The sequence below is a fragment of the Homo sapiens genome, chromosome 12 (assembly GCF_000001405.40).
Source record: "Homo sapiens chromosome 12, GRCh38.p14 Primary Assembly".
NCBI lineage: Eukaryota > Metazoa > Chordata > Mammalia > Primates > Hominidae > Homo > Homo sapiens.
Window position 1 is genome coordinate 104,113,504 of NC_000012.12, and position 25,179 is coordinate 104,138,682.

Genomic DNA, 25,179 nt, shown 5'->3' on the forward strand with positions numbered 1-25,179 from the left:
TAAATATACAAAATAGCTGGGCGTGGTGGTGTGCACCTGTAGTCTCAGCTATTCAGGAGGCTGAGGCACCAGAATCACTTGGGCCTGGGAGGTGGAGATTGCAGTGAGCCCAGATCACACCACTGCAGTCCAACCTGGGCAACTGAGCAAGACAATATCTCAAAAATAAATGAATAAAAACAAATAGTTTTGCCCCTATGTTCATGAGTAAAATCAGTCTATAATACTTTCATGTCCTATCATTGTCTGATTTTGGTATCAACATTATACTAGCCTCATGAAATGGTGAGTTTTTCAATTTTCTGGAAATGTTTAAGATCAGAACAGTCTTTAAAACTATTTGGTCATTAATGGAAGATTTGTATTCAATGTCTTTAAAGGTTATAAGAACATTAGGATTTTATTCTTATCAGTGTTTTCTTTTTTTTTTTTTTGAGACGGAATCTCGCTTTGTCGCCCAGGCTGGAGTACAGTGGCATGATCTCTGCTCACTGCAAGCTCCGCCTCCTGGGTTCATGCCATTCTCCTGCCTCAGCCTCCCGAGTAGCTGGGACTACAGTCACCCACCACCACGCCCGGCTAATTTTTTGTATTTTTAGTAGAGACGGGGTTTCACTGTGTTAAGCCAGGATGGTCTCAATCTCCTGACCTCGTGGTCCACCCGCCTCAGCCTCCCAAAGTGCTGGGATTACAGGCGTGAGTCACTACACCCGGCCTCTTTTCAGTTTATTATTTTTTTCTAGGGATTTATCCATTTCATCTTAGTTTAAGATTTTTCCTATATGAAGTTGTCTATATTATTCTTGTATCATTTTAGTCTCCACAGCATCTGTTAGTTGACCTTCATTCCTGTTTATTTGTGCTTTCTCATTTTTCTTGGTTAATCCTTCAAGAGGTTTAAATGTTTAACACATTAGTTTCTTTAAAAGCGTATTTCCAAATGTCAGGGATAGGTTATAGTAGCTTGTCTAAATCCCTGCTTTCATGATACACTTTAAAAATGCATTATTCAATTAATTTGCTGATAGTTCACATTATTTTATGTTATAAAGCATTTGGGGGTTTTTAACTGGGAGTTGTTAGGTTATCTAGGCTGTCTTACTCTTGGAACTGAAGTCTGGATTAATAGTTTGCCCATATTTATGTGAGTAGAATACATGGTACTTCCAAGATGTCTGGTTCTCTCTGTACAGTTCTGTAAGATAGCACTTTTACGGTGTGGAGACTGCTACTTGCAAGGTTGGGAATGTGCAGAAAGAAACTATTTTTTAAAGATAGACTCTTCCTCCAAAGTAAGGAATGGCTCTGCCATTTCCTTAAATGTCCCAAACATTGTTCTTTGATTAATGATTGCTTTGATCTGAAAAAAGAATTTGGATTTGGTTTCTTGTAAACCTAATATTGGGGATTATATATGCATGAATGAGCCTCCTTGGCATACCTGTCCTGGCTGAAAGGCACTTTCTGTTATGACTTTTCCTTGCCCAGTAACCTGTTTTCAACAACTGCCTAGTGTTCAAAGTTCAGAAATATCTTTCATTCAGATGTACTCTGAAATTGAGCCCTGGAAAACAGTTGCAAAAGTATGACACAAACCTGTTACTGCTTGCTTTTAGAGGACAATCAAGGAAGATCTAAATTATACCTTAAAAGAGGCAAGAATTTATGCCATGGATCAGAATTTTATAATCTCAGTATATTTTTGTGGAAGAAAAAAGAATTACCTATTAACGTAATTTGCTCCCCTAAAACTAGTACATGGCCTTTAAGACAGTGCCAGTGGCCGGGCGCAGTGGCTCACGCCTGTAATCCCAGCACTTAGGGAGGTCAAGGTGGGCGGATTGCTGAGCTCAGGAGTTGGCGACCAGCCTGGGCAACACGGTGAAACCCCGTCTCTACTGAAATACAAAAAATTAGCCGGGCATAGCAGCATGCGCCTGTAGTCCCACCTACTCGGGAGGCTGAGGCAGGAGAATTGCTTAAACCCAGGAGGCGGAAGTTGCAGTGAGCTGAGATCACGCCACTGCACTCCAGCCTGGGCAACAGAGTGAGACTCCGTCTTAAAAAAAAAAAAAGGGGGGGGGGCCAGCACATATTTTAATGACTTTATTCTTACCTGACACACTTGCTCAGATTAATTTTGGTAAAGGAGTTCTTATAATAAGTTGTCTTGCACAGGTATCCCTTTAATATGCAGTGGAAAAAGAAACAGTCTGGAGTAAGATCAGGGAAAACTGTAACTTTACTATTAGGCAAGTGTCTCTCTTTAAAGGCAATGGCCAGAAGCCAGAGAAATGAATCCATGCCAGTGCCATCTGTGGCCCAAGATTTGAAGGGATTCTGCCTTATGGTTTCACAAATCCTTAAAATCAGGTACAAAAAGCAGCAGTCTTGAAACAAATTTCTAAGGGGCTGTACAGCAGCCAGTATAAAAGGCTGTATTACACATCTCCTCAGTTTTGGGTGGTGCTGTTTGTTTTCTGTTTTTGGTGATTAGTACAAAGGTTTTACAAATGTTTGAGGACCTTTTCTGATGAAGTTAAGACCTGAAGAATGAGTGGGACTAGGCAGAGGGAAGTCTATGTGTTTAAGGTCATGGCAGGTGGGTGGGGGAGGCAAAGAACTTGGCATAAGGAGCCTAGACGAGATCAGGGGTGACTGGAGCTCCCCAGTCAAGAGAGAGCTAAACTTGGTGAAGTAACATTTCTAGCTCTAAAAGAAAACATAAATTAAAACTGAATATTTTTCAGGCAGTGTAGTATAGTTCCTTAAAAAACAAAGTTAGAGTTCCATTTTTTAACTCACAAGCACATTATATGACTTAATAGGAGTTTAAGGTCAATATATACAAATTATTAACTTATGTAAATTAATTTATCAGCTGCCTAATTCAGGGAAACCAAAAAATACATTTAAAATAGACTAGTAAAATAGATTTCACCCAGTATCACTTTCTTTTGAAGCCCTCTAAGAAGCTGCCTAATTATTACTTATTTGAATGACTTAAAGTGTATTTTATCACATAAAGCAACAAACATCATCTTGTTTATATTGTTGATAAAATAACAATTTTCCTTAAGAGAAAATATTTTTTAAAAATCTTGCATTGCAAGATTTCATTCTTAGCAAATGGGAGAAACTATTCTTTCCACTTTTCATGCCTAATTTCTACTGCTGTAGAAGTCCTTTTAATTGGGCCCTCATAACTATATTCAATTAGAATTATTAAAGTTAATTGGTACTCCTTTAACTCACTAAGACAACCCAGAAAACAGGCAATAAGGCATGTTTTTGAAGAAAGGAAAACACTGCACACATAATACAGTGTAGGAGGGGAAAAAAAATACAAATAGCTTCAAACACTGTCATATCTAAGTATGTGACATTTGGAAGGCAGCATTTAAAAAACAATCCTCATTGGACTCAAGAGGATTTTAAAGCATCTCCGTTAGAGTGAGGTAGTGAGGGGATAGATAGAAGCTATCTAAGATAGAAGCTACCTAAGTCCCCTTCTACTACCTGGAACTCACTCACGGAAACCCATTTCTCTCTTAGATACTCAAGAAAGCAATGTTTACAAAATTATAAAAAACATTTTTATGATAGGTTAACATGGGAGCTTGCATACATAAGAAGTTCCAGAGGAGAAAACATGACATTCAGTTAAATGCAACATGGGCCAAGGAAGACAGAGACCCCAGCTCTGACAAGCATAAATTAGGATATTATGCACCTGACACATTCAGAATGTCCATTTTCTTTCCCATCAGAGTATGAAGTCCAACAATGAAGTCAATACATAAAAAAGGTGACCTGATTTTACCTGGTGTAAAATTTTAGTTAGCACTACTAGCAAATTATGAAGTTTGGAAATTTGTTGTAGTATATACTAATTTAAAATTTACTCAAATTCCTGTTTGTTTGAGACAAGAGTCTTGCTGTGTCACCCAGGCTGGAGTGCAGTGGCGCGATCTCGGCTCACTTTAGGCTCTGCCTCCCAGGTTCAAGGGATAATGCCTCAGCCACCAGGGAGTAAGGGACTACAGGTGTGCACCACCACACCCTGCTAATTTTGTATTTTTTGTAGAGACGGGGGGTTCTCCATGTTGGCCAGGCTGGTCTCAAACTCCTGACCTCAAAGTGATCTGCCTGCCTTGGCCTCCCAAAGTGCTGGAATTATAGGCATGAGACACCCCATACCTGGCCTCAAATTCCTTTTTTATCTTCATTCTCTACTTGAACAAATATTAATCTTTAAAATAATTTTAGAGACAGTATCTGATAATCAAAGACCAAGTGCTTTTATCAGTTATATAGTGACACACTGCTTGGATCAAGTGGAAAATATCTCAAAAATACACTCATAACGAAGTATCAAAAGCCTTAAAATTTTGCATATTTGGTAACCCAGCAATTCAAAGAATTTAAGAAAACAGTCATGGATGTACATGGGATTCAGTGAAGTGCTGTTTATAACTGTGAAAAGATGTAAATAGTCAAAATATCCAATAGAAGATTAAATGAATTATGATTGAGTCATACAGCAGAATAATAAACCAATAAAAATGATGCAGAAGACTATGCATGACCTGGAAAAGATGTTCCCAATATATTGTTAAGTGAAAAAAGCAGGTTACAAAATGGTATGCACAATATGAGCCCATTTTTATAAAAATATACATATTTAGCAAAGTAAAAGGACAAATGATATTTATCAAAATATTAACATTGGTTCTTTCAACATAGTAGGATGACTGTTGATTTTGCTTAACTACTCCCCCATTTTTTCCTATTTGAATTTACTACAATGAAGTTTGTTTTTTAAATGGAGAGTAGGAGATGAGGACATTATTAACCTCTGATTAGCCCACATATACTCCTAAAGGCTCCTTCTGGCAAAGTAAATGTTTCTGTTCAGCCTATATCTGGGAAATTGCTTCTACCTTATAAATTTGAGTGTCCTTCAAAGATGATATTCACTCCAACTTCCTTTTAGGCAAACTATACAATAGCAATTTTTGATATTAAAAACTTAAAAAAGAAATCCCTCAAGTTAATTAACACCAAAAAGAATAGATGAGAAAATACAAATCCTCACTTTTCAAAAAGAAACAATCCAAGTACATACTACTAAATTATACAAAGTTACATTATTTACGTTTAGTTTATTGCAGAGATGAAGACAGCATACTAGAAGTTGGCTTCTATTTCACACCGTTCACAGCACTCACTCTGTTCTCCATTTCATCCACTCACCCATGCAAAAGGTCTGTACACGCAATGATGTCTGATGTTTCTTGGTTTCCATAGTGTAACAGGAAACTTGACATTTCAATTAAAAAGGTAAAATGAAGACATTTACCATCAGACTATAAAACTCCTCTTCTGTAAGAGAATACTATAGTACTTGAAGATATGATTTGAAAAAAAATCATGTACCAAATGAAAGGGGCACCATTTCAAGAGCACTAGGACTACATTAAACTTAAATATATTCCCACATTCTTAAAAATGTAACTCAAAACCAAATCTAGTCTTAAAAAAGCTCCAGTAACTAAAACTACATTAACAGGCACGATGAACAGTGTAAACACTGTTAATGGGCACCAAGTTTAACAGGGCAGACAATATTTGCTTCTGCATTCACACTTATTCAATTACATTTTTTAAAAAAATGATGCTGCTTAAACTATTAATGTTTTACCAAAAAAATAATAATTTTAATAAATACAGCAAATGCTAGAAATCTAGCTAGGTTATCATGCAAGGTATAACCAAGACAAACTCAAATTTATAATAAAGGCAACTTGCATTCAAAATGAACTCTACCCTTATATTTTATTAAAAGGGCAAACATCATGAATTAACCCAGCCGCTTACTTGAATTACAAAAGTAACATGATTCAATATGAAAATAAGAAACTGTCTACAAATCTCTGACAGTAATAAATTGCAATATACAATGCATACAGGAGTCATACAGAGCAACAAACTCTCGTACAAAACAAAAATATTTTAATACCTTTAAAATCCAAATTTTTCTTTAAAATCATTCATGAAAAAGATTCTCAAGTCAGAATTAACACCTCAATTAGTCAAGCATCAGGAAGCTACATTACAGCTATTAATATACAAAGATACATCTTTTCACCAGTCTTTCCTTCTGATGTCTCTGTTCCAGAATCATACAGACTCTCATTTCTCTACACTCCCCATTCCATCATTTCTTCAGATCATGAAAACTGAATTTGCTGAACACCAGAAATCTAAGATTAGAAAATTTAAATTGAGCAGAATTAAAGAAAAGGAGATTAAAAGTACCATATGCATATTATAAAAATTCAGTGAATAAAAAGACAATAACAAGTCTAATTCCCATTTCTTGTGTATCTTTCTAGAAATCTCCTATGCAAATATGAACATATGCTTATTTTTAACTATTAAGAGAACACTATATACTGTTATCTACATTGAGAAAACACAATTTTAATAACCTTCTTTATCAGGTCCTTAATAGCATGTTGAAATTAACTATATCAATAGATATAATAAAAAAAAAATTTTTTTTTTGAGACAGAGTCTCACTCTATTGCCCAGGCTGGAGTGCAGTGGTGTGATCTCAGCTCACTGCAACCTCCACCTCCAGGGTTCAAGTGATTCTCCTGCCTCAGCCTCCAAGCAGAGGGGATTACAGGTACACGCCATGACGCCCAGCTAATTTTTGTATTTTTAGTAGAGACAGGGTTTCACCATGTTGGCCAGGCTGGTCTTGAACTCCTGACCTCAGGTGATCCACCCACCTCGGCCTCCCAAGGTGCTGGGATTACAGGCATGAGCCATGGGGCCCTGTCGATACAATCAAATTTTTTAAGCATTTAAAATACAAAGGACTGTACCTGTTGATATGATGTTGTGTAAACCATAACATTTTGTTGTTGACCGTCTGTGGTTATTAAGCCAGCTGGTAACTGGTTAGCTAAAAGAAAAAAAATTAGTTAAAGAGGGAAATGAACTATATCTACTTTCTTGGGTTGTATCTTAAGGTTGTACCATTAATGTCTCATTACAATTCTGCCCGGTATCAATGATGTAGTCTTGGACAAAATAATAAATCCTCCAATTTTCCATTTTAAAAAATGTTCCCTAAAAACCACATTATTTTATATTGCGTTTTTCAATTTTCCTATCTCTAACATGTACCTTAGCTAACTGCCCATGTGTACAAATCTGTAGACAGACTGGATGAAGTTTCTGATTCATGATTAAACTACACTACACCATGAGGTTTGGCTAGGAGCAACATATAACTGAGCAGCATATAGTTTACATATGAGAAATATATATAATGAGAAATTTACTCAACATAGCCCTTTTATTTCACCAATATGACAACATGATACTCAATTTAAAAAAAACTGAGTTGAAATTTATTTAAATCATAAGATTTTATATTACAAACTTTTCCTTAATATTCCTATCTCATATGAATCTTCACCAAAAACTAGGGGCTACAGAACTCAGTCAGAACTATCAGTGAAAGGTTATAATGTCTACAGAATTAAACTTTTCTACACTTATCACTCACTGACTTCAAATAAAAGGGCATGAACTGATAAGAACTATTTAAAATAGTGCTTTGTCAAAATACTCACTGCTGACATTCCAAAAATACCATTAGATACTTAGTATGAATCATTGCTAACAATCTACATGACTTGTATTATAACAATGCTTACTAAATGCCTCCTCTGTAAGCTCTTCACTTAGTCCATCTGTAGCTGTGACTGCTCCACCAATTCCCTTTTCTCCTTTCATAGCCTGAGGAAGGAAAAAAAAAAAGTCACTGATATTCAAATGAAATTGTCTTCCAAATGCAAATGCTTACTTATTGCCTAAAATTAGGAGCTTCTATTATTACAAACTCTAAGCAGAGTATTTATTAACACTTCTGGTTAATTACATATGAAGAAGGCTTTCAGAAGGCTAACTTTTAATATAAGCTGTAATCATTAACAAGACAGAGTTAGTAATGACCTAGAAAGCAAAGTATTTACAGATAAAAATAAATTATTCTAATTCCACATCATATCAAAGGGGTAACTCTACTTACAGATGAAGAAGTCTGCAAAACACCACCAATATTGAGCTTATAAATCTACAAATGATCCAAGTGATCACTTAAGTATATATATGTCTCTCAGCCAACTGGGCAGTACTGTAGCAAGCTGAGAGTTAAAAATTCCTAAATTAATTTGGCCAAATACTTCTAGGTTCCTATGATACTGAAGATCTGTAAAAATAATGTCAGGAATTTACACATTCTTTTCCTACTTCAATTATTCCATGCAAATATCACTAATTTAATGGGATTCAAACACTAAAGATATTAAGAATATATTTTGAAAGTAATGTGAATCTGACACCTAAGCTGGCATGTGGAAATAAATATGCTGAACTCAACTGCTTTTCACAAAATCCATTCCTACAGGCAAAGATAAACCTAAGAAATATAGAAGAATTCAATCAATAATAAGACATATGATTATACCTTCCTCTTTTTATTATCTAAAAGACTCCAACCTTACTACTTTTAATGCTACTTCTTTGAAATTAACAATAGCAGCAAGAAGTAACATTAATGAGCACTGAACATTATTTAGTACCATCCATAATTCTATGATATAGGTACTATTAGCCTCATTTTACAGATGAGGAAACCAAGGCCTAAAGTAATTAAATAATCTGTCCAAGGCCACAGAATTTGCATGTGGCAGAGCTGGGATTCAGCCTCCTGGTAGTCTGAATACAAAGTCTGTGCCCTTAAATCATTATATAACTATGCTATAGTTAGTAATAAACAAAGGGAAAAAGAAAGGACTTTCTATTTAAGTACTGTAATATAAGTCAGTGATCCCCAACCCCCAGGCTGCAGACTGATGAGTGTCCGTGGCCTGTTAAGAACCCAGCCACACAGCAGGAGGTGAGGGTCTGGTAATCCAGCATTACCACCTGAGCTCCGCCTTCGGTCAGATCAGCGGCCACGTGAGATTCTCATAGGCGCTGGAACCCTATTGTGAACTGCGCATGCAAGGGATCTAGGCTGTGCGTTCCTTATGAGAATCTAACTAATGCCTGATGATCTGAGGTGGAACAGTTTCATCCTGAAGCCATCTACCCCTCGCACCCCTCCCCTGACCCCAGAGCGTGGAAAAATTGCTTTCCACAAAACAGGTCCCTGGTGCCAAAAATGTTGAGGACTGCTGATATAAGCAATTAAATACTTCTGAGAAATGTTACATAATTTACTACAAAATGAATTTTTAAAACAAGTAATACATTTACAAAGTTAAAATAAATAATGTCTCTTATTTTCTTAAAAGCACAATGGGGGCCGGGCATGGTGGCTCACACCTGTAATCCCAGCACTTTGGGAGGCCGAGGCAGGTGGATCACCTGAGGTCAGGAGTTTGAGACCAGCCTGGCCAACATGGTGTAACCCCCGTCTCTACTAAAAATACAAAACTTAGCCAGGCATGGTGGTGCACGCCTGTAATCCCAGCTACTCAGGAGGCTGAGGCAGGAGAGTTGCTTGAACCCAGGAGGCAGAGGTTGCAGTGAGCCGAGATCTTGCCACTGTACTCCAGCCTGGGCAACAGAGCGATACTCCACCTCAAAAAAAAAAAGAAGAAAAAAAAAAGCACAATGGGAGATATTTTATTTACCTCTCTGAATTTCTGAAGGTATAATTTCAGAGGTTCCACATAACTGTCAAAGCCTAAAGTAGACATAGCAAAGAGAATATCTTCTCCATTGATTGTTTTCCGTTTCTCTTGATGGCACCTTTCACTTGCTTCAGATGTTATAAAACTGATGAACTCACTTACACATTCTTGAACACATTCTTTGGCATCTTTTGCAATCTGAAGAGAAAATCATAGGTAAATTACAGAAACTATAACCATCACCTTCCTAACAACCTACAAAAATGAAAGCCTATTCAGAAGAACACATCTTCACTTTATGACTATTTAATCTCTTAAATATATGTTATAACATTAACACAATGTGTGCTATCAAAAGTCCACACCTCAGAGTCAGAATAAAAGCTCAAATACAAGTGAGAGAAGCCTTGACAACTATTTACAGAAACAAATCTAATTTAGATGTAAAAGAGTGCCTGGCAGGGTGACTCATGCCTGTAATCCCAGCACTTTGGGAGGCCGAGGCGGGCGGATGACCTGAGGTCAGGAGTTCAAGACCAGCCTGGCCAACATGGCGAAACCCCATCTCTACTAAAAGTACAAAAAATTAGCTGGGCGTGGTGGCAGGTGCCTGTAATTGCTGCTACTCAGGAGGATGAGGCAGGAGAATTGCTTGAACCCAGGAGGCGGAGGTTGCAGTGAGCCGAGATTGAGCCACTGTACTCCAGGCCTGGGCAAAAAGAGCGAGACTCCGTCTCAAAAAAAAAATTAAAAAAATTTTAAAAAGATATAAAACAGCAATCACTGGATGTTCCTACCACCCCACAGAGGATGAAAACTCTTAATAACCCAGTGCCCCTGGAAAATCCATTCCACCATGCATATTTTGTGGGCGACATAAGTACCACTTCTCTGCCCTAGCATTTCCATGAATAAAGACACCAGAAAACAAAAAGCAAAACAGGAACTAAAAAACTGAATTCACATAAGGCTTGGAAAAGAGAGAAATGATAACATACGGTGACTTTGACTTTTTTATTATTTGGGATACACAGTGTCAGATACAGGTTTTGAGTTTACTAAAAAGCCTGCCTAAAGAAGCACACATCTGCCACTTCATTATAAAAACAATTTTTCCCTTAAGGGTCTGGGGTCTAAAAATGAAACTCCAATGGATTAATCAAGCAATTGCAAAGCCACTTGTAACAGCAATACCACTCAAACTCCCTGCCGAAACACACTGTCTTTCACCGCCATGCCTATTTTCCATACTGGAGAAAGTAAACAAGAACTGCATAAATGCAGTCAAGCAAGATAATATAATGTGAGCCACATATGTCAGTTTAGATTCTCTAGTAGCCATATAAAATAAAATAAAATTAATTTTAATATATTTAATTTAACCCAATATAGCCAAATTCTTACCATTTAAACATAGAATCAATTTTTAAATGAGAAATTTTAATTCTTTTCTTCATACTAAGTCTTCAAAATCTGGTGTTTCAAATTTACAACACATCTCCATTCAGACCAGCCACATTTCAGGTGCTCCTGAGCACATGGCTTGTGGCTATGGTACTGACCAGCGGCATAGCTGGTCATACATAGCCTATGTAAGCAATAATCAGCATTTGTGCTTTTTTTTCCTTAAAACATAAGGACAAAATTCTCAAACTGTAAGTTCTAAGCTTAGTGATGTATTTTAATAGCATATTTATTTGTAAGCTTTATTACTTCCATAAGTCTTTTTAAACTATAAAATGACAGAAAAATTACCAATAGAAAATGATATAAAACGTGTGAATTTTAATTCAGACCAAGTGATGAGCAATGACAATGAGTTTTAAAAGTTCTAAGAAGACAAAACTACTTAAGAAAAAAAAATATCAATTTAAATGTATCTTAGTATCTATAATTATGTAAAAATAGCTGTTTCCAAATACCAGGATTTGTTTTGGAAAATTCTTATTACACCTATATCAGACCAATACGACCTAAATTTACTGCAACATTATAGAAGTTACAGCTTCAGTCTACGGCCATACCACCCTGAACGCGCCCGATCTCGTCTGATCTCGGAAGCTAAGCAGGGTCGGGCCTGGTTAGTACTTGGATGGGAGAAGTTACAGCTTCAGGCCGGGCACAGTGGCTCGTGCCTGTAATCCCAGCTACCAGGGGAGGCTGAGGCAGGAGAATCGCTTGAACCTGGGAGGTGGAGGTTGCAATGAGCCGAGATCACGCCACTGCACTCCAGCCTGGGCAACAAGAGCGAAACTCCGTCTCAAAAAAAAAAAAAAAAGTTACAGCTTCATACACCCAAACCTGATAGTTCTGACAACGTACCTATTTTTTAAAACAGTCGGGCCAGGCACAGTGGCTCATGTCTATAATCCCAGCACTTTGGTAGGCCAAGGCGGATGGATCACCTGAGGTCGAGAGTTCAAGACCAGCCTGACCAACATGGAGAAACCCCATTTCTACCAAAAATACAAAATTAGCTGGGCATGGTGGTGCACGCCTGTAATCCCAGCTACTCGGGAGGCTGAGGCAGGAGAATTGCTTGAACCTGGGAGGCGGAGGTTGCAGTGAGCGGAGATTGTACCATTGCACTCCAGCCTGGCCAATAAGAGTGAAACTCTGTCCCCAAAAAAAAAAAAAAAAAAAAAAAACAGTCTAAATTCTATTTTATCTGCCTCCAATAAGTGGGAGAGAGGAGAACATTTAGGGACATGACAGAATTGAAAATGGGACACTGTTCAGTAACTGTGTATGTAGACATGAAAGAAATATTTGATTTGCTGAAAGCCTGAATGATTGAAATCAACAGCTAACTGTACCCATGACCTATGAATTCATGTAGTTTCGTGTTTCCCTTGAAAAAACCTAGTTAAATTTCTCCTCTACGTTACCTTTCCCGTTTGAGGTATGGCATTTTTCATTATCCTAGCCACGTTTGCTATTGGAAGATATATATCTTGTTCTCTGAAACTTTCTTTTGAACCATTTGTGTCTTCATGATCATTCATGCTGTCCTCAGTATCTAAAGAAATAAAAATATTTAGGTGTAAAGCTTCTTATTATTTCTATTTCAAGATAGAAAAAACTACCAAAGTGATCCAGAATAAAATCATTCTGGTTCACCTCTTAACCATTATTTAGGGATTAGGATAGCAAGTCTCTTCATAATTTTTACAGAGCCAGAACTGAACTTTTTTTTTATTAATTTCAGACTCACTGCCTAGAACACTTTTTATCCTCAAATATACCTGCTAAAATCCTACTTGCCCATTCTCCAAAAATCTCAAATAACATCTCCATACCACCTTCAAAAATGATCTTTTCTTTCATAAAATGTAAGTGCTTCTCTATGCCTTTTCTCTTACACATTTTTAGAATTTTTATTATTCCTCATTTCTCCTATTAGATTTTTGCTACTTAATGTCACGAATCAGCTTTGTGTTTCCTACAGCTTGGTACAGCACCTTCCACAGAGTAGGTACTCATAAATATTTATTATACGACTTAGCTATAAAACTTACAGACCGTAACCTATGGCTCCTTCAATACTGCTAGATTAAGAGGTTGTATGTTTCTCCAAACCCAAGTTTATATAAACTCATTTATGTAAAAGTCTATATAAAACTTTTAAAGTTGATATAAAGTTGTCTTGTCTGTATAAAGTTTATATAAAATTCTTTAAAGAATGGAAAAACTGGACTTGATTATTACTGATCCAGTTGGCTTACTAATGTAACTAGTTTTTGAACAAAGCTAGAGCAGTGATCCAACTGTTCATACAAAAAGGGACTTTTCAAATTATATAAATTTAGCTATAACTGAAGCTTGCGCAGTACCAATAACATCCTTTTATGACTAAATGCAGTATCCTGTAAGTAAACTGCCCACTCTTCATATGTACTAAGTAAGGAGGCAAGGCACTTAAGTTGATTCAATTTACGTTTTTATGTGTTTAAAATGATGTTATCAGAATTAATTTATTTGAATATCCGTTTCAGGATGAAATTAATCCCTCTGGCAAGTTTCTTCTAAAAATATATCTCAATTTTTAAAAATTTTACAAATCAGGCCAGGCGTGGTGGCTCATGACTATAATCCCAGCACTTTGGGAGGCTGAAGCAGGCAGATCATCTGAGGTCACGAGTTTGAGACCAGCCTGACCAACACAGCGAAACCCTGTCTCTACTAAAAAAAAATTAGCTGGGCATGGTGCTGGGCGCCTGTGATCTCAGCTAACGGGCAGGCTGAGGCAGGAGAATTGCTTGAACCCAGGAGGCGGAGGTTGCAGTGAGCCAAGATTGTGCCACTGCACTCCAGCCTGGGCGACAGAGCAAGACTCCATCTCAAAAAAAATAAAAAATAAAAAAAAAAAAAAAATTTTTTTTACAAACCAAAATGCCACAAAAGTAAATTATTTCTGATAGGCCAACATAACACTGCCTTTTTTTTTTTTTTTTTTTTTGGAGACAGGGTCTCACTTTGCACTTTGTCACCCAGGCTGGAGTGTGCAGTGGTGCAAACATGGCTCACTGAAGCCTCTACCTCCCAGATTCAAGCAATCCTCCCACCTCAGCCCCCAGCCCCCTAAGTAGCTGGGACTACAGGTACATGCCACCAAGCACAGCTAATTTTTTAATTTTTTTGTAGAGGTGGGGTTTCACCATGTTGCCCAGGCTGGTCTCGAACTCCTGAGCTCAAGTGATCTGCCCACCTTGCCCTCCCAAACTGCTGGGATTATAGGTGTGAGCACCACACTGAGCCAACACTACCATTCTAATACCTGACATAGTTCAAAGTTAATATTGAATGAAAACCAAAAATAAATCATAAGTGCAAGAAATATAATAGCTAGAAATTTAACTCACCCTCTAAATAATTATTTTAGTTACCCTATCAATTGATTATAAATTTCTTATTTAACATTTAAACAGGAAGTCGATAACAAATTTTAAAAGAAACTGTACAGATTTTAGACAAGGTGTATTTTTATAGTAAAAGTCTTTTCAAGGACTCATTCTTTTGAAGACTATTTCTAATAAAAATAGCATGGTACGCCTTTTTAGACTTTCTCATTGAACCGTAACACAAGATTGTAAATTTTCCTATAAAGACACAAGTAGCCTAGAACACCATATTAATGAAATGTCCACTTTCTAACTTGCTTCAACTTGAGAATTTGGTTCTAATTGTGGCTTGCTTACCATCATGAGGCTGTATAACATAATGACTTCCTCCAATATAGTCTGCAGAGATTCCTAGTTGAGAAGCATCTGTTGTAGAACTGTCACCATCCATCTATGAGGAGAAAAACAGTTTTTCAATACTTTTCAAAGTACTAACAAACGTAACAGATTCAACACTTATAAACTGTCACAGGATGATGCATCAATTATACTTTTCATAGCCTTAAGCTTACTAAAAGAGAATTTATATTTCTTTTTTAAAAAATTAATTATTTTTTTGAGACAGGGTCTTACTCTGTGGCCCAGGCTGGAGTGCAGTGGCGTGATCACAGCTCACTGCAGAATCCACCTCCCAGGCTGAAGCAATCCTCCCACCTCAGCCTCCTGAGTAGCTGGACTACAGGCATGCACCACCATGCCTGGCCAATTTTTTTGTATTTTTAGCAGAGACAGGGTTTTGCTATGTTGCCCAGGCTGGTCTGGAACTCCTGGGCTCAAACAAACCACCTACCTCAGCCTCCCAAAATGCTGAGATTACAGGCATCAGCCACCGCAACCAGCCTATATTTCTTGATTTGGAAACTTTCCCACAATTTGTCCACGATTCAAGATTTCCCTATCCATCTTCCATAAGTGATATAAGCATAAGGCCAATAGCGACAAGGAAATGAATCTAAAGCATATGCCTCTTTCTTTTTAAGTGCATAATCTTCAAATATAGTACCACAGGCAACCCTGACTTACAACCTAATTTATCCCTGGAATGATGATCAGCTTAGTAAAGCTGTACACAGTGTCATGTACCTGTAGCCCCAACTGCTCAGAAGCTGAAGCAGGAGGACTGCTTGAGCTCAAGAGTTCCAGACCAGCCTGGTCAATGTAGTGAGAACCTGTCTCTTAAAAAAAAAAATCAGCTTAAGTCATCAACTGGAATTCACCTGTATCCATCACTTCCAGCTCTCCTGCTAAACCCTGATTTTCCTTTTGCTCCTGCTTGCGAACTTTCTTTGCTTTCTCATAGAAGTTCCAAAATAGACAATGTCTCCGTTCAAACTGTTACTTGGTATAAGAAGCATGCGGATTCTCTGCACAATTCTGTACCCAGGCAAGCCAAAAGTACACCCATGTTTTGAATGAACCCATAAACTCCTGATTCTAGTCAAAGGTTAATTTTCTCTCCCCCTGCCAAATCAGGGCCAGGTGTGGCTCATGCCTGTAATCCCAGAACTTTGGGAAGCCAAGGTGGGAGGATCACTTGGGCCCAGAAGTTCAAGATCAGCCTGGGCAACACAGTGAGACCCTGTCTCTAAAAAAAAACAAAAATTAAGAAATTAGCCAGGCGTTGTGGCATGTGCCTGTAGTCCTAACTACTTGAGAGGCTGAGGTGGGAAGATCACTTGAGCCTAGGAGGTTGAGGCTGCAGTGAGCTGTGATCACACCACTGCACTCCAGCCTCAGTGACAGAGTGGGGTCAGGAGGAGGGGTCAGGAAGATCTATGTATAAAGATAGGAAAATTACCTGCACAGACAAGAATAAGAGTTAAAATTCCTATTTTAAAAAAAGCCTGCTTAATTAATTTTGCTGAGAGCTAAAAGAATTCCAAGAGGGAAAGTCTGGAAAAAAGTAAATCATAAGCCCTGAGCTGGCTCCATTCAATTTCACCAACATGGCAGATCCTAGAAGGCTTTCTGTTTTGCAAATACTACTACTCAAAATAAGATATCTGTGAGTGAAAAAATGTTAAATGCATTATCTGAATAAAAAGTATAGCAAAAATCAAGTGTAATTCATACATACTTTCAGGCTGAACAAAGAAATTTGACCCTTCATTAAGGCCCAGGACCCAGTATAAACTTAATGTTATTAATTGCAAAATTTTAGTCCTTGTATAACACATGTCTTCTCCATCTCTGTTGAATTTTTATTTAATATTAAAATACTGGGCTAGTTTCCAGGTCTTCAATAACACGGCATTTCTTTCATGCATCTGTTGACTGTGATGCCTAATATAACTGTAGATAGAGACACATTTCTATAATTTATATAGTTGTTGTAAGGGGGTAGAAAATAGAATTTACAGACCTTTAATAATCTGTGAACATAGGGTACCTATTTGATACTTTTAGTAGCCTCTAAGAAGTAAACAACAAAGTCAGTGACCTGATTCTGACTCTCCTACTGATCCCCTGAAAATAAGCATCCCTGCCAATTAAATGTATTTCCATATAAAATGTAAATAACAATACCACCCTCCCCATCTTAAACTAACACAAATAAATGTGAAACAGTGCCCAAAAATCAAATGCTATTTTGATCTTAAAATGCTAACATACTAGGAGAGTATCCTTTAATAGACATGATGGATTTTTTTTTACAGCCATAAAAGAATGATCAATTATGATACCTGTGAGTTGACTAGCTTTTACAATAACCTAAGGAAGATCAAGGTGCAGGAGACAGGACCAAAGTGGTTGTTTCAGAGCCTACAATTGGAAACAAACTTTGGTTGGGGGTGGGGAGGGCAGGCGGTGGGTTGGGAAGAATAACAGAAATTCTTTCCTGAATGAGTGTTTACATGATACCATTAAGTCTTTTAAAATTGGCTATGAGCAAGACACTGTTCAAATAACCAGGCGGATCTGGGAGATGAATTAATTTAGAAATATAACACAAACAAAAGTATTAAAGGAAAAAAGTTTAAATCATATTATCTTGTCATGCACTGGAATTAGCAACATGATTATCATTTGGACTAACAGCATTAGCCTCGCTAAACCTCAGTCTTCTAAAAGTGAAGATAAAAGTATTTCCTAGAGTTGTCAGAATTAAATAAAGACTAGAAAGCTGCTAAAGACAGTGTTTGGCACGTAGTGTACCCCACAGACATTCGATCTCATCCTCCCTCCTTTGAAGAGAAGCCGCACATCATCTGCTTAACTGTATGTGTCTTCAGTTCTGCAAGTTTTAGCTTTCTATCATTTCACGCCTTCTGTCTTCCTTTCCTCTGTCTTTCTACCATTAAAATCCTGCCCCAGACTTTAATCCCAGTGTTCTCTATCCTCCTTTAATCTTTCTGATTTATCCTTTCTGCAATTCAAAAACAAATGTTCTGTTCTTTAAAGCTCTATGGCACTTAGTACCTTTCACTCAATAAGTCAACCTAATCTTTGATGCTTAGAATATGCCAGCCATTCGCCTATATATAAGAATGATGGAAAAAAACTTGCTAGATGCATCCCAAAGGTTTTTTCTAGGTCTAAAACATCCTATAAAAACTTATAAAACAGACTGTAGATTGTCAGTAAGCCAGCCAACAAATATTTACTGAGTGAGCGCTTAGTATTTACCAGGTTCATGCTATGTGCTGGTCACGTAGCTGTCAACAACAGACAAGGTCTCTGTCCTCAGCTTGCAGGACAAATGTTACATAACCTGGGAGGCAGGGTGAAGGGGTAGAGAACAGAGCCTATTAGTCCTTCCAGGACACAGGCTCTGGAATCGAATCACCTAGTTTGAATTCCCTGCCACTTACCATGAGACCGTGAACAAACTGGATGAGAACAAGACTTAACCTCCCAGGCTCCTGTACAGGTTAGGAGCTAATCCATGTAAAGACAGCATAGTACAATGGGCATACTCAGTAAGTGGTATATATAGCTATTAAAATAATTACAAATAATTAAGTAATTGCTAGTGCCAAGTACGAAGAAAAACAAAGATGTTTTGTTATGTGCTATGTGAGTTTACTCCAAAAGGGACCTCACTAGTCTGAGGGGTCAAGAAAGGCTATCTTAGGAAATGACATTGAAAATGAGACTGACAGATAAACAGAAATCAGTCAGGCAAAAAGAAAGGTGGGAAACGAATGTTCTAGGCAGAGAAAACCAAGAAATACAGTACTGGTGGATTGGAAGGCGCTAAGGAGGGGCTAGATCAAGCAGTGTCCGGTGGACAAGAGGAAATCAAAGAGTTTTAAGCAGAAGAGCACAAATCACATTAAAAAAAAAAATCCCTCTGGCTACAGTTCAGTACAGAAACCGACCTGGAGGGGAGCACAAATAGGCACAGAAGACCAGTGAGGACTGCAATGCTGCAGTCAGGGCATGACTTCAAGCAAGATAATGATCATTTTAGCATCAGGTCTGGGTGAGAGCGCTGGAGATCAAGAGAAGCAGAACAACTAGACAGCTTTTTAGTAGGTGACTTGGTGACTGACTGATAGAGATACAGGAAGACCAAGGATAATGCTGGGATTCTTGCAGCTGGAGAGACAGACAGCTGTCACCGCAGAGAATGGGAAAGGAAAGGGAGGGGAGTGCTGGACAGTGTAAGCCTAGCTGAAGCTAATGACCGTGAGTTTACAGTGGTGCCAGTATGTCCAGTGTGACACTTGAAAGGCCTGATATGAGACTACAAAAGCCAAAGTGTTGGATTTCATCCAGGTAATGAGGCTGGAAGAGCACAGCATGTAGGATAATGACAAGGGGACACGGACAGTGATGAATCGTTAGACTCAAGGAACTGATAAATATGGACAAAGAGTGGTTAAATCCCAATAAATTCATTTTAATGACTATTCTCATTATTTAGTTGAATTGACAGAATTATTCTTGAAAATATTATTTGAAATAAACAGGTAGTGGGCTAATAAATCTTTATTTTTTTGATGTAGCCGTATTTAAACTATGCTAATAATTTGTTCCACAAACAAATACTGCCCTCTTTAATGTTTACATTTATTGAACACTTTCTAAATATCTCATGCAATGTTCACAAGCCTGTGACGCAGGTGAGAAAACTGAGGTACATGAGGCTAATGATTTGCCTGAGGTGACACAGTAAATGGGACTGAAATCCAGGGCCTCAGATGCCAACTACTCTCTACAGCATTCCTGCCTGGTAGTTTTTCATACAGTCTTTACACCTACTTCTTTAATTTGTCCCTTTTACATTCTAAGGCTACTGATTATACACTGAAAACACTGAAATTAGCTTCTCAAACCAGGATGGTGTTTGTGAGATGGTTAAGAAGTGCACCCTGGACGACGGTGAGGAGCACTGGCTCTTAGGACCGATTTCGTGGGTTTGAAGCTTGGCTCCCCATTTATGAGCTCTCTTTGTGTTTTCAGCTTCCCCATTTTTAAAGTGATGTTGCTATGAGGAAGCTATTGTATAAAAAGCACCTAGCAAAGTGCAAGATACATAGTAAGAACTTAACAAATGTAATCTTAGTATTGCCCCCTCAAATACGGTTCTCATTATTCTTCCAGGCAGAGATTCTTCTCTCTCTTAATTTACCCTTTTACCTGTTTTCTGGGTTACATTCCTTTTATCTATCTGAGGATAAGAAATAATACAAAGATTCCTCTTCTATAATGTATCTTCAATCCTCCTTACCAGCTCCTTCACTCTTCCTTAAACATGCTTAGTCTCCCTCATTAAGCATACAGAAGTACACAGAGATATATAAAATCTTAATTCTGCCCCATACCCTTGCCTAGCTACCATTCTTGCCCTGACAGTTGTTAAGACACCTCTTCATTCCTATTTAAACTCCTGAACATGTACTTTTTAACCCCAACCCAGAATGAAACCACTCTTAAAAGCTGCCAGTGATCTTGTCCTCATCCTACTTGACTGTTCTTTGTAGTGCTGGCTACTACTCGCCACACATTTATGCTTGGAATTCTCTCCTACTCTGATTTCCAAAGCAATATCCTTTCCTCCCCACCCCCTAATTGTTTCACCCAAGGTTATCCTTCTCTTTCTTCCCTTATTTTCTTAATGAACTCACTAAATATCACTTCTATGCTTATAAATGCCAAATCTACAACCAATATTCTGCTTGCCACTCAAGCAACCCATGCCTGTAGGGCATGTCTAATATCTCATCACGGCAAATTTAAGATATTGGGAAATGAAATTCACCTTGCCCCATTCCCTGCAACGGGGAAAGGAGGGAGATTTCCCTTTCCACTACTGTAATTCTACTAAGAAGAATACCAGCCCTTCACTCTGCCCAGCCAAATATACCAGCATCATCTTAGGTTCTTCCATCTCCTTCAAGCTCTACCTCATCTATTACCTCTTTAAAAATGTCTCCTAGATATGCTTTCCCTTTCCTATTTCCACTGGATTACCACCCAGCCCATCTTAACATATTGTTATAAGACTAATCTCACCACAACACCAGTTCTATACTCTTGAACCTATTCTCAAAGGTTCCTAAAGGCTTCCTGTGTCAAATCCAAACCTCATTTTCATGACTTCACATGAGCAGATCGCACATTTAACCTAACCAAACTTGTTTCCTACTTTTCTCTATCTTCATGGTTAATAAAAATCTTTGTGCTAGAATGTGCTTTATTTAGGGATCACTGAGTGCACTTCTTTCATTTTAGGAGTGAAGCGACCACAGCTCAAAGAAGCTGTAACACACCCGAGGTTACAGATATAGTAGCACATCCAGAATTAAATATCCAGAGGGGACAAGTGCTTTCTCTTTCCTACATTATCCTTTGAGATCTACCCTGGACCATGCACCTCTACTCCCGATCCCCTAAACTTAAGTTGCCCATCCTGCCATCAGGCTTTTGCTTTTGGTGACACCCTTCACCAATCCACTCCCACCCTCTATTTCAAGGCTCAGTTCAAGGTCTGCAGGATCCCTCTGTGACATTCCCAAGTACCCAGGCTCACCATGCCTCTCTTCTTCCCATATCTACTGCACTTAAGAGTTAGCATTTTCCATTCTGGGCATAACTGTCCCCTAAGTATTCAATTAATTGGCTAAACAGACAGCCCCTTTACAGCTGGGACAGGCTACCCTGTAGCCTCAACAGCACTTAGGGACCCATGGGAAATAATATATGCAAGAAGCTGAAAATAAGGAAGCAACAGGAATGAGCAGAGGTACTGTCTGTCTAGACTTGAAATGCATTCATTCTACCAGGCACCTCCAGTATAAATTGGTTACAATTTTATTTCCAGCCAATTACTATTCAAATCTAATTAACAACCAAAATGGTAAAATATACTTACTGTCATGAAATACTGTCAGAACCGTGTTGTCAGTGGTGCTGAAGAACACCTATCTAAAAAGGTGTCTAATCTTTGTGATTTCAACCTAAAAGATAAACATCTATTAGGACCTAACATCTATCAATAGTAAAAATACATCAAATGTATCACTTATAGGCTTTTTTTCTCATAAAATTAAAGAGGGCTTGTATAATTTTGACTACTATTCTTAATCAATGGAGTACATGGTATAAAATAGTATAAAAAGGCACCCAATAAATGTTTGTTGACTTGAAAGATTTATTTTGGAGAACTTAAAAACAAGTTAATTCCATGGGGAAAGGAGAAAATGGATTTTCCAACATAACCCTGAATTTAGCCATATTCATCATAAACATTCATTACAATACACCAAAAAGGGACCAAATTATATAATATGCAAGAGACCAAAAATTATACATCTAAATTACTTAAAACATTAACACTCAAGATGCAAACACACCCCTTATCATCTTAATTTTTTGGTGATGGTTTTCTTAAATGTTTCAGAGTAACATTTAGACATTCTATAGCTCAAGAGGAGGAAAAAATTATCTGAGAATATAATGCTTTTCAATTAAGAATCTCAGATTATACTGTAATGAAGATACATTCTGCACTGAGAAGATATCAAAAAAGCAACACAATCAAGACCCTTATTTATAATTTTGAAGCACCACCATTTTTGACTAAAATTGCATCGAAATAGCACTTCAGTCTCACTGTAAGGCATAAATAGCTGAACAAATTAGTACCAATTGCTGTGTTACAAGTTTCATTTCTCATTTGCTCCATTCTTTCTCAAAGGAAACAATTAAATGGGGGAGGGGTAGGATGCCAAAACAAAAACACATCCTTTCAGTGTTAATTTTAAAGGGAGAAGATATACTGATACGCATCCAAGCATGAAATCTAGCAAATAGCAGAAAAAATTGTAGCCACTGAATTGAAAGTTTTTAATGCCACTAAAAAGGTCCAGGTAGCAAAAACTGCTTGACGTTTGCTATAATATTAAAAGTAATTTATAATTTCTTTTCAAATATTAATAGTATCCTCTAACCCCAAAACTGCTCAGAAAAGTCCTTCCTTGTAACGAGAAATGTTATTTTTTAAAGAGTGTCTTTGAAAAAATAAGCCCTCAGAACACTTAAAACATGGGAGCTATATTTATGTATTTTGCTTGGAATGGGAGAGGGGGGTGTGGGCAGGGAGTCATACCACACCACACTCACTCACCCAAATAGTTGATTCAGTATATATTTAGACTCAGTACATTAAAGAAAAACACTGTCACCTCATATGGTGTATATTTTCTTAAGGGCAGGTTGATATATGTAAAAGCTCAAGGGAATGCATACATCTGTTTAATGTTTTAAGAAATGCAAATTTGTATCCAAGAAAAGCAGTAGTCCCTTCCTCCACCCTCCATTCTTTGGCATCAACAACCAGAGTTTTGCATCAATATACAGTAATCCTTAAATTAAGATACAAGAGCAATGCAGGGAAGGAATAATTTGCCTTTTAAGGAATTTTGGTTAAACTTTCAATACTTTACAAATAAACCCCCCACTGATTAGTGCCACTGATATTGATCCGTTTGCTTTCATCACTTTATGTTGCTGATTAGTTTCCATACTAAGAGAGATGAAACCACCCCAGTGATTTGTAGCACGAACCACGCAACTATGGGGTCCATGCGGGTTAGTGGGATGCCATTTTTTTAAAGGTCGCAGGCTACCTAACCTTGTTTAAATTATCCTGTTAGAGTGCTTTGGGCGAGATTACGATTTGTGGGTGCTCTGTAATTCTTTGTTCTCTAAGACTACCGTTCTTTAAGGCCCTGCATATCCTCCCGCCTCCCACCACTAATGATTAAAACCTTAGTCCAATCCGAAGGGCTTCCTTCCCACCTTCGGGGCAAGTACAGGGACCGCAAACCGCCAGATGGCTGCATTCTTTACGCGCAAACCAGGCTGCGGGGAAGCTAAAGCCATGCCTTCCTCCCCACGCAGGTGCCTGGGTGGCCCCGGCCCCACGGCCTGGTCCCGGCGACCTGTCAGCCCTGCGAGTGCCAGGAGGCCGCCCCCAGAGCGCATCCCCTGACTCGCCCGGCCGCCCCGGCCCCGCGCCCAACGCCTGCCTCCCACCCGCCGCGCGGCCCCCGGGATGTGCGGGCAGACAAAGCGCCGGGCCCCGCCACAGCCCCGCGGGCGGGAGGAGGGCGCCCCCGGGGACTCGCGCCGCCGCCGGGGCTACGGGGCCAGGGCCCGGGCCGCGTCTCCCGCCCCTCGGCCGGCTCCCCGCACAAAATGGAGCCGGCCCGGGACGCCGTCGAGAGCGGGGCCCCGACGCAGCCCCGCGGCCCCTCCTCGGCCCCGGGCCCGGAGCTCAACGGCGGCGAGGGTGAGGTGGCCTGGCCCGCGTCCCGCCGCTCCTCAGCCCGGCGCACAAAGAGCCGCGCCGCGGCCCCGCGCCCGCTCCCCGGCCCGGCCCGCTGCGGGAGCGGCCTCGCAGGCGCGGGGCCCGGCCTCGGCCCGCGCGGGAGGGCGGGAGGCTAGTGCCCCCGGCCGCGGCGGCGTTGGCGGCGGGGACGGCGCCGGGAGGAGACGGACATTTCATTCGAGCTAAAGTGGAGTCGGTTTAGGAGCGATCATTGGCCGAAGCGAGACACAAACCTCCAATGCAGCCCTGGTTGGCTCCCGTCTCCAATCGGCTGTTTGGTTGGACAGAAAATGGCTGCGAAGGAACCAGTCCCAGCGCGGAGCTCCGCTTCCAGGACTCGGCCTCCCCTCCCTCCGCCGCGGGCCGCTTCCCTCGGCGCGACACCCTCCCTCCGCGCCGCCCGCGCGCCCGCCCGCCGCGGCCCCGCCCCGCCCCGCCCCGCCCCCGGCCCCGCCCCGCCCCCGGCCCAGTCCCGCGTTCCTGTGAGGCCTCCGCGCCGCTCCGGATGCCGCTCCTCTAGGCGCGAGGTCTTCCAGGGCCCTGCCCGGGCGCGCCGTTCGGGTCTAGGCGGGCCTCCTTCCCGGTGCTGACCCGGGCCTGTGCGAAGCGGGATCTCTCGGGCGTCCCTCTCTTTGTCACCCCTTCCCCCGCCACGTGGAGGTGCCTCAGCCGCCTGAGCTCAGCCTGCCTGCGCCTGGATTTTTAAGAAGGGGAAACCAAGGACAGAAGCCGCCCCCTAGGACGACGCGCCCGAGCCACCGGGAGGGTCTGAACG

General features: G+C 39.7%; 1 protein-coding gene and 1 pseudogene across 20 annotated transcripts, besides 7 other annotated features; one reads left to right on the forward strand and one right to left on the reverse strand.

The window, feature by feature from the left end:
• Positions 3,089-3,258: an enhancer, noted in NCBI's record as "experimental_23731 CRE fragment used in MPRA reporter constructs". NCBI's record gives its function as "activates a minimal promoter by MPRAs in K562 erythroleukemia cells, with activity observed for the introgressed 12:104510455 variant allele {active_cell/tissue: K562}" and the evidence as "EXISTENCE:reporter gene assay evidence [ECO:0000049][PMID:34662402]".
• On the reverse strand, positions 3,583-24,707 carry NFYB (nuclear transcription factor Y subunit beta). Of its 20 annotated transcripts, NM_001414523.1 has the most exons (10): positions 24,638-24,707; positions 21,945-22,029; positions 18,251-18,335; positions 17,308-17,386; positions 14,921-15,014; positions 12,611-12,741; positions 9,723-9,920; positions 7,737-7,818; positions 6,897-6,976; positions 3,583-6,266 (listed from the first exon to the last, which is right to left on the reverse strand). In NM_001414523.1, the coding sequence occupies exons 5-10, from the start codon at positions 15,012-15,014 to the stop codon at positions 6,234-6,236; spliced, it is 618 nt and encodes a 205-aa protein (NP_001401452.1). In that variant the 5' UTR covers positions 17,308-17,386; positions 18,251-18,335; positions 21,945-22,029; positions 24,638-24,707; the 3' UTR covers positions 3,583-6,233. The 20 variants fall into 20 exon arrangements, 18 of the variants coding, with proteins under 18 accessions (NP_001401452.1, NP_001401455.1, NP_001401447.1 ...); NM_001414526.1 differs by lacking the exon at positions 18,251-18,335; NM_001414518.1 differs by lacking the exon at positions 17,308-17,386.
• On the forward strand, positions 11,733-11,822 carry RNA5SP370 (RNA, 5S ribosomal pseudogene 370; annotated as a pseudogene).
• Positions 23,266-23,859: an enhancer, noted in NCBI's record as "H3K27ac hESC enhancer chr12:104530547-104531140 (GRCh37/hg19 assembly coordinates)". NCBI's record gives its function as "activates a minimal SCP1, AML or CMV promoter by ChIP-STARR-seq in primed H9 embryonic stem cells {active_cell/tissue: H9 hESC(primed)}" and the evidence as "EXISTENCE:reporter gene assay evidence [ECO:0000049][PMID:30033119]".
• Positions 23,860-24,451: an enhancer, noted in NCBI's record as "H3K27ac hESC enhancer chr12:104531141-104531732 (GRCh37/hg19 assembly coordinates)". NCBI's record gives its function as "activates a minimal SCP1, AML or CMV promoter by ChIP-STARR-seq in primed H9 embryonic stem cells {active_cell/tissue: H9 hESC(primed)}" and the evidence as "EXISTENCE:reporter gene assay evidence [ECO:0000049][PMID:30033119]".
• Positions 24,071-24,200: a silencer, noted in NCBI's record as "silent region_4787". NCBI's record gives its function as "represses an Ori minimal core promoter by ATAC-STARR-seq in GM12878 lymphoblastoid cells {active_cell/tissue: GM12878}" and the evidence as "EXISTENCE:reporter gene assay evidence [ECO:0000049][PMID:35858748]".
• Positions 24,261-24,340: a silencer, noted in NCBI's record as "silent region_4788". NCBI's record gives its function as "represses an Ori minimal core promoter by ATAC-STARR-seq in GM12878 lymphoblastoid cells {active_cell/tissue: GM12878}" and the evidence as "EXISTENCE:reporter gene assay evidence [ECO:0000049][PMID:35858748]".
• Positions 24,441-24,540: a silencer, noted in NCBI's record as "silent region_4789". NCBI's record gives its function as "represses an Ori minimal core promoter by ATAC-STARR-seq in GM12878 lymphoblastoid cells {active_cell/tissue: GM12878}" and the evidence as "EXISTENCE:reporter gene assay evidence [ECO:0000049][PMID:35858748]".
• Positions 24,591-24,890: a silencer, noted in NCBI's record as "silent region_4790". NCBI's record gives its function as "represses an Ori minimal core promoter by ATAC-STARR-seq in GM12878 lymphoblastoid cells {active_cell/tissue: GM12878}" and the evidence as "EXISTENCE:reporter gene assay evidence [ECO:0000049][PMID:35858748]".

What these genes read in the sequence shown, in the direction of transcription:
- NFYB (NM_001414518.1), bottom strand. An exon ending in CCATACCTCAAACGGGAAAG is followed by an intron (nt 9,921 to 12,610) that starts GTAACGTAGAGG and finishes TTTTCTCTTCAG; the next exon opens with ATTGCAAAAGATGCCAAAGA. An exon ending in ACACAACATCATATCAACAG is followed by an intron (nt 6,267 to 6,896) that starts GTACAGTCCTTT and finishes TTCTAATCTTAG; the next exon opens with ATTTCTGGTGTTCAGCAAAT.